The sequence below is a fragment of the Homo sapiens genome, chromosome 1 (genome assembly GCF_000001405.40).
Source record: "Homo sapiens chromosome 1, GRCh38.p14 Primary Assembly".
NCBI classification, from domain to species: domain Eukaryota; kingdom Metazoa; phylum Chordata; class Mammalia; order Primates; family Hominidae; genus Homo; species Homo sapiens.
In genome coordinates, this window is record NC_000001.11 from 96,776,709 (window position 1) to 96,790,732 (window position 14,024).

The 14,024-nt window shown below is 32.6% G+C and overlaps 1 protein-coding gene across 16 annotated transcripts in view; it reads left to right on the forward strand.

Annotated features, from left to right (window-relative positions):
* PTBP2 (polypyrimidine tract binding protein 2) overlaps nt 1–14,024 on the forward strand; it is a 101,956-nt gene that overhangs the window by 54,925 nt on the left and 33,007 nt on the right. For all 16 annotated transcript variants that reach the window (NR_125357.2, NR_125356.1, XM_011541876.3 and 13 more), the window contains 3 exons: nt 877–1,041; nt 1,128–1,238; nt 8,351–8,546. Coding sequence is in view for 14 of the 16 variants with exons in the window: in XM_011541876.3 (XP_011540178.1) it covers nt 877–1,041; nt 1,128–1,238; nt 8,351–8,546 (472 nt within the window). In the remaining 2 variants the exon portion in view is untranslated. The remainder of the gene's footprint in view (nt 1–876; nt 1,042–1,127; nt 1,239–8,350; nt 8,547–14,024) is intronic.

The window sequence follows — 14,024 nt, forward strand, 5'->3', positions numbered from 1 at the left end:
TTATCATAGACTGTCATCATAATAACAGGAAAGGGATAATAGTAATAAAGGCAGTCTTTTGGAGCATTTAACATAATATTTGATTGACAGATTTCCTACAAATACTGTGTTTATTCAATTTTATGGGTATATTTTTTCGCATTTTAAAATCTCAGAAATTTGATGTGTCCTGCAATAGTCTATCTTCCATAGTTCAATTGGCAACATCTTATTAGTCATACATAAAACAATAGTGCATTTTATAATTAATGGTGTATTTGATACCATAAAATGTATGGGAAATATTCTTCATATTATATCTTGAAGTTTACCTGAGAATTTTGTGGTTTTGGACTAGACTACACGTTGGTTTCTATTCTAAAAATTTTGGTGTCAGAAGTTAAGTGTAGTATGAAAAATGTATTTTCTGAATGTTCCTATTTTAAGATTGTATTAGAAATAATAAGCTTTATGGGAGTTCTTTTGGATAATTCAGTAACCCCCTTGTTGAGATTTACAACGTACCTGTTTTATGGAGTGATTAATGTTAAAGTTGTATTCTCTAAATTTCTGTTTAAAACATTTTCTGATGGTACATGTATTTATAAAACTACATCTTGTTCTTTTGAGAATAAATTACATATCATACCTTTGCATGTTCAACATTGATCCCAAAGCCTGGATAATTTTTTTGAATGAAATACTAGTAGAATATTTGATTTATTAAACAGGTAGTACCTGGCTCATGGCAGGTGCTTAAAAATATCTGTTGAGGGGCCATTTAATTTTGTTTAATCTGTGTAAGTTCTAGGAACAAAGTGAACTAGTAGTGTAACAGGTTGCAAAGTATGTGACAATAATGGGTATGTTTCTAAACTACATAATCTTAATTTCCAGCGTGCTCAGGCAGTTCTTCAAGCTGTGACAGCTGTCCAGACAGCAAATACTCCTCTTAGTGGCACCACAGTTAGCGAGAGTGCAGTGACTCCAGCCCAGAGTCCAGTACTTAGAATAATTATTGACAACATGTACTACCCTGTAACACTTGATGTTCTTCACCAAGTAAGTTTAATCTGCATAATTACCTATAAATTAGAGAAATAATAATATAGTAAATAAGTAATGTTTTGATTTTAATGTTTTAACAGATATTTTCTAAGTTTGGTGCTGTATTGAAGATAATCACATTTACAAAAAATAACCAGTTTCAAGCTTTGCTCCAGTATGGTGATCCAGTAAATGCTCAACAAGCAAAACTAGTAAGTCTTTCTTTTGAGATGGTGATTTTTTTTTATTGAAATGTATATGTAGAAAAATATATATATATGTATGTATACTTAATGATATCTTGTAGCATTACAGATAGTAGAAATTGATGGCATTAATATTAAGAAACCTTAATATTTGTCATAAAAGAAATATTTATTTTTAGGAAAATCATAGTTGTAGTTAACCATGATGTGGGTTTCTATTATTTTACTTTTTTTTTTTTTTTTTAATTTAAGGACAAAAGTTTGTACTCTTAAGAAAAAAGCAGGACTATATTGTGAATGTGCACCAGCATAAGATTTGAAGTGGCTTTTGCTGGGAATTTCAAAGTAATTAGTTTTCAAAAGAGTTTGGCTGAAATATACAGATGTGGCTCAAATGCTATGATAGGCTCTCAGTTTATTTAAAACTATATATTCTCTTTAATGTCTTTTTTTTAAAGGTTTTATGAATAGGTTTCTAGTCACTTTTTATTCATATCATTTATCTTTTTTGTCATTGTTACATATGGAGGATGTAAGGTCATTGAGAGATGTAAAATTTCCCATCAAGGCTGCCACTGAAAACTGCGCACCACATCTTTGCTTCCAAGTACCTTAATCTTCTGTTTGTATATCTTAAATCTACTTTTGCTCTGTCTCTTTAACTTTTTGTGCCATAGTATCTCATTATTATTACTATTCCATTATTAAGCCATTAAAAATTCATTATTAAGCCATTATTATGAAACCATTTAATAAGCTTACATTTATCTTAACTGGTTTTCTTCCTTTCATTCATTCTTTTACTTTCAGATTAATTATTGTCTCTAATACTTAAATGCTTCCTCCAGATCAAGATTACTTCTGTGGAGCCCAGACCATTTTTTACAATTGTTTCATTGCATTTCCATCCACACAACCTCATTTTGGGAGCAAAATTAGTTGTAGGTAGCAGAAAGGCTATACAAGTAATAATAGCATAATTGTAATAGTTTACCAAGTGCCGTAGTCTCATTTTTTCTGACCACTACTCTATATTGTCAACAAAACAGGGTTTTCCCCTGCGTTACAAGAGGATGCTAAGATTTAAAGAGGTGAATTACTTACAGTGAACACCACCTATAAGGTAGACATTTTTTCAGTCTTAGCCTTTCTCTCCAGTATGCTGCTTCTCACTGGTTCTCGGGTATAATCTAATCTTACTGTGCTTTCCGCTTCAGGCATAGGTTAATAATTAGAATTCTTTTTTTTTGTCCAAAAAATGATTATCCTCCTTTCACATGCCCTGGCTACCAAAATCAATGTGGTATGAGGTTTTATGAATAGGAGACAATCTAGAAGTCATGGTTTCTGTGACATTTTTCACAACTTCAAACGTTTAAATATAGTCTACATTTTTCTTGGTGTGGAATATTTTCCTTGCTCTTCTGACCCCAAAGAAAAGTATTTGTTAGAGGACCAATTAAATGAAATTTGAGTGGGGATTATACTGTGTTTGAGCTATAATTCTTAAGGGGAAAATTGTTTATATGTGTATCTTGTCTGAAGTAATACATAGTTACATTAAATCTCATAAAAGTACCTCAATTGTGTCAACTGTTTGACATTTTTGTTTAATCTTCTGTGAACAGATACTAAGCATCCAACTATGATATTGATGTTTGTGCACAGGTATGCACTCAGGTCTTCTTGACAAAGATCTAAAGTTATAATTCTAAGAGAGTAGATAATTGTTTTACTAAGTACTTATTCTGGTATCAGAACTCACACTTCACTTATTACAGAAGGAAAAAGAAATTTGTTTCCTAAACTTGCTTTGCCCCATTACCTTGTAATCTAGACCCTTTGGTAAAATTTGCATTTTTGATAACTACAGTAATGTTCATTTTACTTGCCTGCATCTGGGCTCTACTTAGAGAATATCACATAATATTACATAATCTGACAATTGGTACCAGTTTAAATCCATCAACGTCAACTACAAGTAAGCCCTCTACTCTACTTTAAAAATCTCTTCCCATTTCTTCAGTCAACAGTTTTTCTGTTTTTCACAATGCCTATGTCAGATAGAAATTTTCCCTTCTACCATATCTCTCCTCACTCTCACTTGCTTGAAGAGGAAAATCACATGGAAGCTTCATCAGCTTTTCTTGCAAAATCTGCTAATACTCACACTTGTCTTTCTCTTTTAATAAAAGGCATAGATGTTTAGTTATCTAAGACCAATAAACACCAAAGCCTATCGTCTTCTGCCTGTCAAGAGACTGCACTATCTGTCATCCCCTTTCTCATTTATTTCTCTCTATATTGGCCACTTTTCACCAGTTTCAAGCATTCTCAGCTTCTTTCATTTTAAATGAATTTACCTTCAACTTTCAATCCATCCATCTATAACTCTACGTACTTTCTATCACCCTGCCTCCCCTCTCCCTTTTCACTCATAACCAGACTTCTTAAATAGTCTATCTTTGTTGTTTATTATCTCATTTCTCTACTTACTATTATTTGGTTTTAGCACTGTTGACCCAAATTGCTCTTCCTCAGCGTCACCAGCGATTAGTAGAGTAGCTAAATGCTAGTGATATGATTTAGTCCTTGTCTTACTTAATACCTAGATAATATTTGGCACTGTGCACCATTGTCTTAAAATTCTCTTTCTTCCTGGTCTCTGATACTTCTCACCTGGATTTATCCTACCTCTCTATTTCTTCCTTGTCTTGTAACTCCCCTTCTACCTGGGAGGCCTCACCTGCTGTCACAGCTCCATTAAACCTCTTATGATTCAGACAGAGTTCACATCACATTTTCTAGCTCAGACCTCTCCTAAGAGACCCACACTAAGAACCTGGCGGACTAATGAATATCTTCAAACAGTGTGTTCAATCTAGCTCCTGTTTTTGGTGTCCGCTGTGTTAGGAAAGTGCAAGATACCAACTTCAGTCTCATTAACAAGCCAGTAAACATGGTATTTTTCCCTTTCCTTCCAACCTGTCATCAGATATTATTGATTATACCTCCTAAATTTTTGTTGAATCTGGCCTTTTTTCTCCAACTCTTGCTACCATTGCAGTCTAAGCCAGTGTTATTCAAGATGCTGGTCTCTCAAGGTAGTAGTGTGTGTCAAACTGAAATCAGCATACTTCTAGCAACAGTATGCTTAATGTCAATATTGGCATAAATTTTGACACAGACTTCTTATATTCATGCAGAGTAGCCTGGGCTTCTGGACCGTCAATCATAATTTAAGTAGCATTGATGTAGTAATAATTCTCTTTCATATCTCCACTTCCTTGGCCTTCTGACTGAACTCACCATTTTGACATCTTCCCCTACCTCCATTATTTTTCCACAGAGTACTAGGAATCATCTCAACGTCAAGTCATATTGCTTCTAATCACAATACCCTTTAGTGACTTTTTTGTCCTTGCAATAAAGTCCACAGTCCTTATCATGGCTTATAAGACTCTAAATCAGTCCTCAGCTTGCCTCTCCATTCTCCTCTCATGCCTTTTTAGCTATATTGGACTTCTTTAAATAGCTTGCATATACTGTATTTTCTCTGATGTCTCGATCTTACAGATTGCTGTTCCATTTGCTAATACTATTTTTTCTCTTCATCTCTTTATGCCCAACTTCTGCTTCTCTTTGTCTTTCAAGTATCAGTTTAGAAGCCTCTTCCTGAGATAAGTCTTCTGTAACATTTCAACTAGATTAGATCCCTTCCTTTCTTAGTTCTCAGTATCACACATAAAATTTATAATTTGTTAAATGTGTATATTTTCTGTCGGACTGTAAGTTCTGAGTACCATGTCTGCTTTGCTTTCTGCTGTATTTATTAAACATTGACATTCAGGGTGAAAATCAGAAGTCATAGTAACAATCTTAATTATCAATAAAAAGTATTTTATGCGATCCTCATATTTATTAAAGAAAACACCTTAATACCTTTCAGAAAATCTTGTTTATTTATTGGAAAGTAGTGTATTAGGCAAAGATGCGTCTTCTCTTGGCTTTCTAATTCAGCTTTTATAATGTTGAGGAATATAATTACTTGATGCATAAAAATATCAATCTTTTTAATAGTATAATAAGACATATAATGTAATCTCCTTTTCACCTGGGATTTAAAAATTGTTTTTACATAGTCCTTACATTATAACACACATAAGTAGGAAATGGTTCTTTTTGGTTTTTGTTATTAGAAACAGCTTTTCAGAAACATGTCTTTATTAGGAATATCTTTAGTTGACACTGGACAGTATATTGTGTCTTCTGGAAGTCCTGTTTATATGATCATTTTATTTTAACATATAAGTGGGTTGTTTCTTATTCTTTATTTCTTCCAGGAGATTCCATTTCATCACTAACTGATAATAAAAATAAATATGAGATAAAACATTTGCAGCAGTAAGATTATGTCATTCATTTCCTTCTCACAGAGTACACATTGCTTTATGCAGATTCTTTGAGAGACCTAATGGAATTATCCTTTGCTAATTTCTTGGGCAAAGATTCTCCTTGACATCTGCTTAATTTACAATCTGTATATTTTACATTCATATTAATGGAGAATTTATGATGAAATCAGTGGTTTTAGGATGCTTTAGGAAAATCCTGCATAATCTACCAGGGTGGGGTTATTTGATATTGGTAAATAATTAGTCTGAAGTATTACATTAGTATTATAAGCTTAATTTTGTGTTGTTGATTTTGATAATTTTTCATGACTTGCCAAATATTAAAAAGTAGATATTTAAAGAATTTGGAAGTTAAGGTTTCTCTCAGTGTGTGTTAAATCTGATCCCCAACAATCTCTTCAAAAAAGTAAGTTATCAATAGTAAACGATGAGAAAAATGGAAATAGTTTTATTTTGGCTTTTCATGTTTTCAGTCCATATGCAGTGTTTCATTGTGCTGCTTTAATTATGCTTTCTGTGCCTAATATCTTTCCTGTGTTTTGATTTCCATGTTTTAGCCATAAACTTTAAATTTACATGAAAACTTTTTTTTCTGATTGTTTTTGCTTACTGTCTAAACCTTCACTGTGAGTAGGCACATTTGGAAGGTCTTTCTGCAAATTATCTTGAGCTTTTAATGTCAGAAATCTTTGCTCCAACAAGATCACCACATTCCTGATTGCTGAACCACAGGACTGGTTTGTGTGCTACTGCTATTTCTTGGGATTTTGCAAATACATGAGCTTGAAGTGAGCTTGCATATATTTTTTAAATTTGATTTTACTCCCTTTCTTATTTGTGGTCACCTCCTTTAACCAACTATTTAAAATACCTGGATTTTTGCTCTCATACACCCTCAGCTCCTATTTCTTTCCTCTTTTGCCAACAGATGATTAATTTACATCTTGTTTGCTTATTTCTCTAGCTCTTGTACCTTAGGTATACTTCTGCATCTTCCACCTACATAAAGTTTTTGTTTTTGTTTTTAATGTTCAGAGGGAAAATTTCAAAGGGTCCTGGAGGGCTTTCTAACAATTGGCATATTCATTGTTAGATAATTTGGCAGTCGGACCTCAGTATTGCTGGGAAAGAATTCAACTCCTAAAAAACTTAGTGTGTGTTTAGTAATTTTGTATCAGCACTTTTAGCATTAACCTAGATACTGTGACTCAAACCCAGCTCTTTTCTCATAAGGTATCATTTTCTCTTTGATAACATTGAAGTAGTCACCTAAGAGTGAATTTTGCTACTTATCTTTTGATATTTATCTATTGTGTAGAAACATCAGTTCTATTACTTATCTCACATTTTCCCTATAGGAATGCTACATTAGTAAATGAATACCTATCTTCAGTGCTTTCTTCACCTTTACACCAGGGTATTCAATTAATAGTTATGTTATTCTGGCTGATAAAGTTGATTGATACATGGCTTCCACTTTTATGTGATGATAGGTACCTTGCCTAACCCAAATGTAATTCAAATCCTGATGTGTATGAACTCTCTTTCAGTTTTTACCAGTGCTGTATTGAAGTGGATGAATCTGTGTTGAATTATTTTCTAGGTTAGTTTTTAGGTAGGTAGATTAGTCCATAAAAAAATTCGTATATTAAGAGAAAAGGTTTTATATTCCCAGAGGTGAGAATATTTGAATTAAAAGCTTTATATACTTAAGCAACTGTAGAGGTTTACTTTTTCCATAACACGACATGTTTATTCTTCTAATGAAAAGTTAACAGTATGTTCACCTGTTCTCTAGTTTGTTTCCAGCTTATATCCAGCTGAACTAGAAATGGTGATTATATAGGAGCAGAAAAAGTACAAGATAATCATAGCGGTAACATAGTCCTTTATAATTCATGATGTATTTTCACATATGTTGTCTTTAATTTACTCCTCTTAATAACCCTTGAAGAAGCATGACAGCCATTGTCATCATTCCTGTTTTCCCGATTAAGAAATTGAGATTCAGAGAGGTCAAATAACTTGCTTAAGATGACCGAAAAGAGTCTAGGCTTTTAATTAATCCTAGACCTGGCACTCGTCAGTTTCAGAACTTTTCGGGAATGACATTGGATTTGCTAATTTCATCAAGATAATCTGATTGGGGGTGAACATTTCAGGTTAAGGAAAATACTAGTTTTTTTCTTTTTTGCCTCATTTTATGGGAATTGCTATTATGTGTTAGGATAATTTGGTTTGAAGCAACTTTGTACAATGTGGCATCAAATAGCAGTTACCTTCTAAAACTGTACTGAATCATATAAGTACTGCCATCCAGCAATAAATATATGTATAATAAAATTAACCTTATTGAGCAGAGTAGTGTGGTACTACTTTGGTAGGACTTCCTGTTTGTGATCCTTATTAGTTTTTTTAAAACTAACCTATTTGCAATTTTTAAAAATTAAAAGTATTAGCATGGATGCTTAGCTGGTTGTATTTTAGGTTGAAGTAGCATTTTCTATTTAAGGAAGATAATATTTGGGGGAAAGTAATACATGGACAGCTGGAACAGCAAAATTTGATATATGAAATTTGAATCCTTTTCCTGGTAGCTTTTAAGTTCGAGTTTTTGTTGTTGAGTTTTATTACTAAAATTATACTTTCACTAATTTTTATTTTTTGTTTAAGATTGCTGATATGCTTTATTCACTTTTACAGGCCCTAGATGGTCAGAATATTTATAATGCCTGCTGTACCCTAAGGATTGATTTTTCCAAACTTGTGAATTTGAATGTAAAATACAACAATGATAAAAGTAGGGATTATACTCGACCTGATCTTCCATCTGGGGATGGACAACCTGCATTGGACCCAGCTATTGCTGCAGCATTTGCCAAGGAGACATCCCTCTTAGGTATGATTTTTATTGTCTTAACCACTTTTCTCCCATTTTGCCAAATGGAAAAGTACCAGTAAGTATAATGAATCCCCCCATTTTGGACCTTACCAAATTGTGTTAGGTTTCGTGAGTTTTCTTTTTCTCAAGTGAGAAGGCATATGAATACTGTTAAGAAAAACCCAAAGTATTCTTTATAAGTCTAATTAAAATTATATGTTAGTTTTGTTCCTTTTAATACCTTCAGCTTCTCTTCCATGCCACTCTCCCAGAACAAAAGAAGAAAAGCTCTAATGAAGAAATACTGTTGAATTCTTAATGCCATATTTACACTTTAAACTTGATGTCACTATGCCTGAGTCTAGGCCTAAAGTTCTTGTGTGTGTTTTTCAGTGCTGATCTGATTGTTTTAATTTAGCATTGCATGGAAACAGTGAAATGTTAAGAGACAAAACATACATAATGGGTGGAGGCATATGGGATTTTTTTTGAAGCATATTGTAGTGGCCTTTTAAAAAAACAATTTAAACTAGAAGAAATTTTCTGTAAAATTAATTTTGCTATTTCTTTGCATTTTGTCTTAATCATTTATATTTTACTTTGTACCACAATGGACTTGAGCCACCTAATAAAAATACAGTGCAAACATATGCAACTTATAGTTGATAGCGTGGAATCAAGATGAAGAAAAAAATAAGGAAAATCTTACTTTGTAAGTAAAATGTGCAAAGTGATTTATAAGTTAAGATGGAATTTTAGAGTTTCCTTTTATTTGATGTATTTCTTGATTTCTAGTATTGGTAAGATTATCTTTAAGTCATGATTTTTATATATATGGAACTCAAAATTGATAGTTGACAAACTAGCTTTTACAATTTAGTTTATGTCTGTCATTTCAAAAGAAAAAATAGTATAATTAAGTAGTTATTGGAAATATTTACTTCCCAATATATAACAGTCATGCCATCAGTTTGTGAATATGAAATCTGTAAGTGGTATATATGTAGAGAGAGATACTCTAAGGCAGTTGGTATTTGATTCTGGTAACTAATAAGAATTAACTACCTGTTAATTCTGGCAGCTGCAAACAAATCTGACCCTTTATTCGAATTTTCTGGTGTATCCTAGCAGAAGTCATAGTGTTTATTATGACTGTAGTAGATGCTTTAGGTCACTTACACTCTTTCCTGACAGAATCTCTACTACCTCTGTGTGTGTCTAGCTTAATTCGTAATTCAAGTTAATAAGATTGAATATTTCACAGTGTGCAGTTTTTAAAGGCAAAGTCAGGAATGAAAGAGTGAAACATGGTTTTTGCTTATAATTATTACTATAGATTATTAAACTCTTTACTGATAGACATTGTTTTAGAAAGAATCAAAATTTATTGAGTAGCTTCTAGGTCATATTCATTCAGCTAGGCACTTGGCAGATACATTACTTTGTTAAAATAGATGGTCTCATCAAGATTTTACATATAGTTTCTAAGAAGTTGAAAAATTCACATGCAACTCATCAAAGAAACAATTTAAAGATAAAATACCAAGAAACTCCAGCTAAAGATAAAATACCAAGAAACTCCAGCTAGTATTAACAATGGACTACAATAATCACTTCTTTGGACCCTACTGAGGTGTGTGTATTTGCCCATCTGGATATACTTAGATGTGCTTGGATCCTGGGTGGGAGGCTTGGTTAGAAGTCACGTGGATTCTTCTAGGGAATTTATCACCATTTTTCTTGTGATCTTATGACCTTGCTGAAACTTTTAAAACAATAATAAAGTCATTTTTTTTCTCTTTGAGATGGAATCTCACTCTGTCGCCCGTGTCAGAGTGTGGTGGCGCAGTCTCGGCTCACTGCAACTTCCGCCTCCCGGGTTCAAGCGATTCTCCCGCCTCAGCCTCCTGAGCATCTGGGACTACAGGCGTGTACCACCACCCCTGGCTAACTTTTGTCTTTTTTCGTAGAGATGAGATTTCACCATGTTGGCCAGGCTGGTCTGGAACTCCTGATCTCAGGTGATCTGCCCGCCTCAGCCTCCCAAAGTGCTGAGATTACAGGTGTGAGCCACCATGCCTGGCCGCTTTTGTTCATTTTTTGAGCGTTGTACATTTTTACATTAAAGGCGTGTAAATTAAGTTGCTCGCTTTGCCAAAAAATTGTCTAGTGTCTTTTTCCACTTCTGTGTTGAATTTTTTAGTATAACGCATTTTTGTTTCTTCATCTCTGCCTCATAAGAAAAAGGAAAAAGTGTTTAGCCTTTCCTAAGTGACTTCTTTTTTTTATCTGTTTTAATGTTTTTGCATCTTGTTATAACTGGGCTTTTTAACTATACTCAAAAATAGGTTAAAAGTAGGTGAGTTAAAGGTTTTAAAAATCAGATAATGGACCCTGGTTTTGATAATTCACAAGAGATAACCATTTATTTTCATATTTTTTATGTAAATACATGTTTCTGTACAAAATTAAAATTGCTCTGTATTTGCAGATTTGCATTATCTTTTATTGTAATTGACATTTTACTTAGAATTTGTTTTAAAAGATAGCTTTAATACCTGCGTAGCATGTTCATGGGTATGCCATACCTTTGAAAGTGGACATGTAGGCTATTCCATACTTTTTATTAAAACACCCTTGTACTTTTTTGCCTCTCAAATTATTTTCTTAGACTAGATTCCTAGAATTAGAATTATTGGGTCAAAGAAAATGTTAAAGCCTGTTTACTTTATTTGCAAATTTCTTCATCTAAAGGTGATATTAACTTAAACTAACATTAATTATATATGAGGCTGGGTGTCCTACTTTTTCCCCTGCCAGCATACTATTTTTTAATTTCACAAGATTAATTTGATAGGCAAATGCCTATTTTAATTTCTGTTAAGATTTAGTTTACAATCTTTAAATGTTTATTTGATAGTCACAATTTGCTAAATTGCTTGCCTGCATTCTTTCTGTTAGGATGTACGGTAATTCTTATAAAATGCATAGTAAGGATATTAATATGCATATTTTGGATGAGCCAAGCCTTCAGCTTTATTCACTTATGTTAGGTCAGTTTTTGGAAAAGTATTTTTCAATAATCTCTCTTTTTAAATAATTGATCTCAATCCCAAAGTATTCATTTGTAGGACATGAAGACACAATTTTCTTCTTCATACGTTTGGTGAATATTTTGATCTCAGTTTCCACTTCTCTTTTTGCTTTTTAAACATTGTTTATGGTGATATCCAATATTGCATGAGTGAGGTCATGCCTTTTAGAATAATAACTGAATCTTTTCTTCTAATTATTTAATCAGATGACTTCAGCAAACTAATATTGGTGGGATTAACTTCCTGCTCAGTCTTCCAGTAACAGTACTTGTTCAAAATGAAATAATTGATAGAGTATTTATTTCAAAAATTTTTAAGAACACAAATATAAGGTGATACTCTTTTGCTAAAATTTGTGGGGGGCTTCACTTTACCTTGTATGATTTTTATATTAGATCTAGCTACTTGACTGAATTTAATTACTTTAGAATCAGTACTATAAATTTTAATTGATTTATTTTACACAGTAATTTTTTAAGACTAACATTTATGTCTGGCTTTTCTGTTTCCTTTAATGCTAGGTATCACAGTGTCTCAGAAAATGTAATTTGTTCAAAGAAAGGAGACTGAGTGCTTTGTAATGAGTTTAAAATCTGACATCTAAAATACATAATCACAAATGTGGCCGACTATTAGTCATTCACATATTCTGTTTCAAAGAACACAGTGATCAAAAATCCTTCAGATTATAAATTGAGACATCATTATAATGGATCATTTTATCATGTTAAGAGGTGTAGTTAATTTATTAAGGGGTAGATCACTTTTAGAAAAATTGCTGGAAGTAATTTTTCATGATCATGTTATCTACATTCTAAAAATTAGGAGAGAGACTGTGTACAAAGAGTGTTTATTTTAGAGCTTTCCTTGTATTTCAAATTGAATAACAGGCATTCTCATCATAAAGTTTTTAAAAGAAAGGCAAAGCAGACTTTCTGTAGGAAATCATTGACGTTAAAATAGTTATAATTGTGAACAGATACAACATTTATTCATGAAGGTAAACATGTAGGTCTTATAGAATATTGTTTCTCAAAATTTTGCTGCACGTTGAAGTCACCAGATTCTACCCCAGGCTGAGAATAGTTAAAGAGTGGGTCACAGGCATTCCTATGTTTTTAGGATCTCAAGATGGTTTTACTATGTAGCAAGAGTTGAGAATTACTGCTACAGAAAAGAGCTTGTAACTTAATGTCATTTAAATCTATTTTGGTACAGTTCTCCTGGCACAATTTTAATTAGCTGTTAAACTGAATTTATAATTTTCTATATGTTTGTGATACATAAAATTAACTGGAAAACTTTGATTTTCTTTCTTTGTTACATTTGTATGGGTTATTCATTTGGTAATATTTATTAATTTATTATTAGAGATTTCAGCTATTTGCTAATATAATGAATCCCATACACCTGTCATCTTGGTTCAATAGCGCTGACACTTAGTTTTATCTATTCAGTTTTTCTTTTGTGTTCTAAAGCAAATCCTTGACATTGTGACATGTCTTCTCAAATATTACCATAGTATCTCTAAAATAATTACATTTTCTTACCAAACCATAATATGATTATTACACTTACCAGAATTGACAATGATTTCTTAATGTCCTCAAATACCCAGCTTACATTAAAATTTCCCCAATTATTTTGAAAATGCTTTTAAAGTTTGATTTGTTCAGAACAAGGTCCTATGGAGGGCCGCACATAGTATTTGGTTGTTACATCTCATTAGTCTGTTTCAGTCTGTAATAGTCCTCTCCCTCTCTCTACTCCCAATCTCTCATTCATTTACTTATGAAGTGATGTTTCCTTTTAGAAAGTTTCACAGATTAGACTAGTCTGGCTGTTTCTTTAGAGTGTCATGTTAACTTGTTCCTCTATCTGCTGTGTTTCTTATATAAACTTAAAGTTAGTTCCAAAGGCTTGATAAGATTTAGAGCCTTTTTTTTTTTTGAAGTGTTTCTTGTGCTTCCTATTGTGTCTCAGTAGGAGACATCTAATATCTGGTTGCCCCACTTTTAGTGATTTTAATGATGCTTTAAGACTGATTGTGGATTTGGGTGTTGACATTCTGATCCTTTCGTTACTTTTTTTTCTACTAATGATTTTAGTATCCAATAATGGTTGCTGCCTTAATTAATTTCACTAGTGGGTTGCAAATATTGCTTTTTCTCCCCTAATTCACATATTCCTTCTCTACATTAATTAGCTGAAAATCTTTATAAAGTAGAATTTTCCTTCATCAACTAGAATTATCAACCTTGTAATTCAATTTGTGCAGGACAATTAGTTAAATTCTTGCATTTGTTTGCTAATTTTAAGTTGGTGCCCAGCTTTTGTTTTCAGGTAAGTACTTAAACCAGCTTATGAACAGGTACAGTATAGATTCTTCCCACTGTCTGCT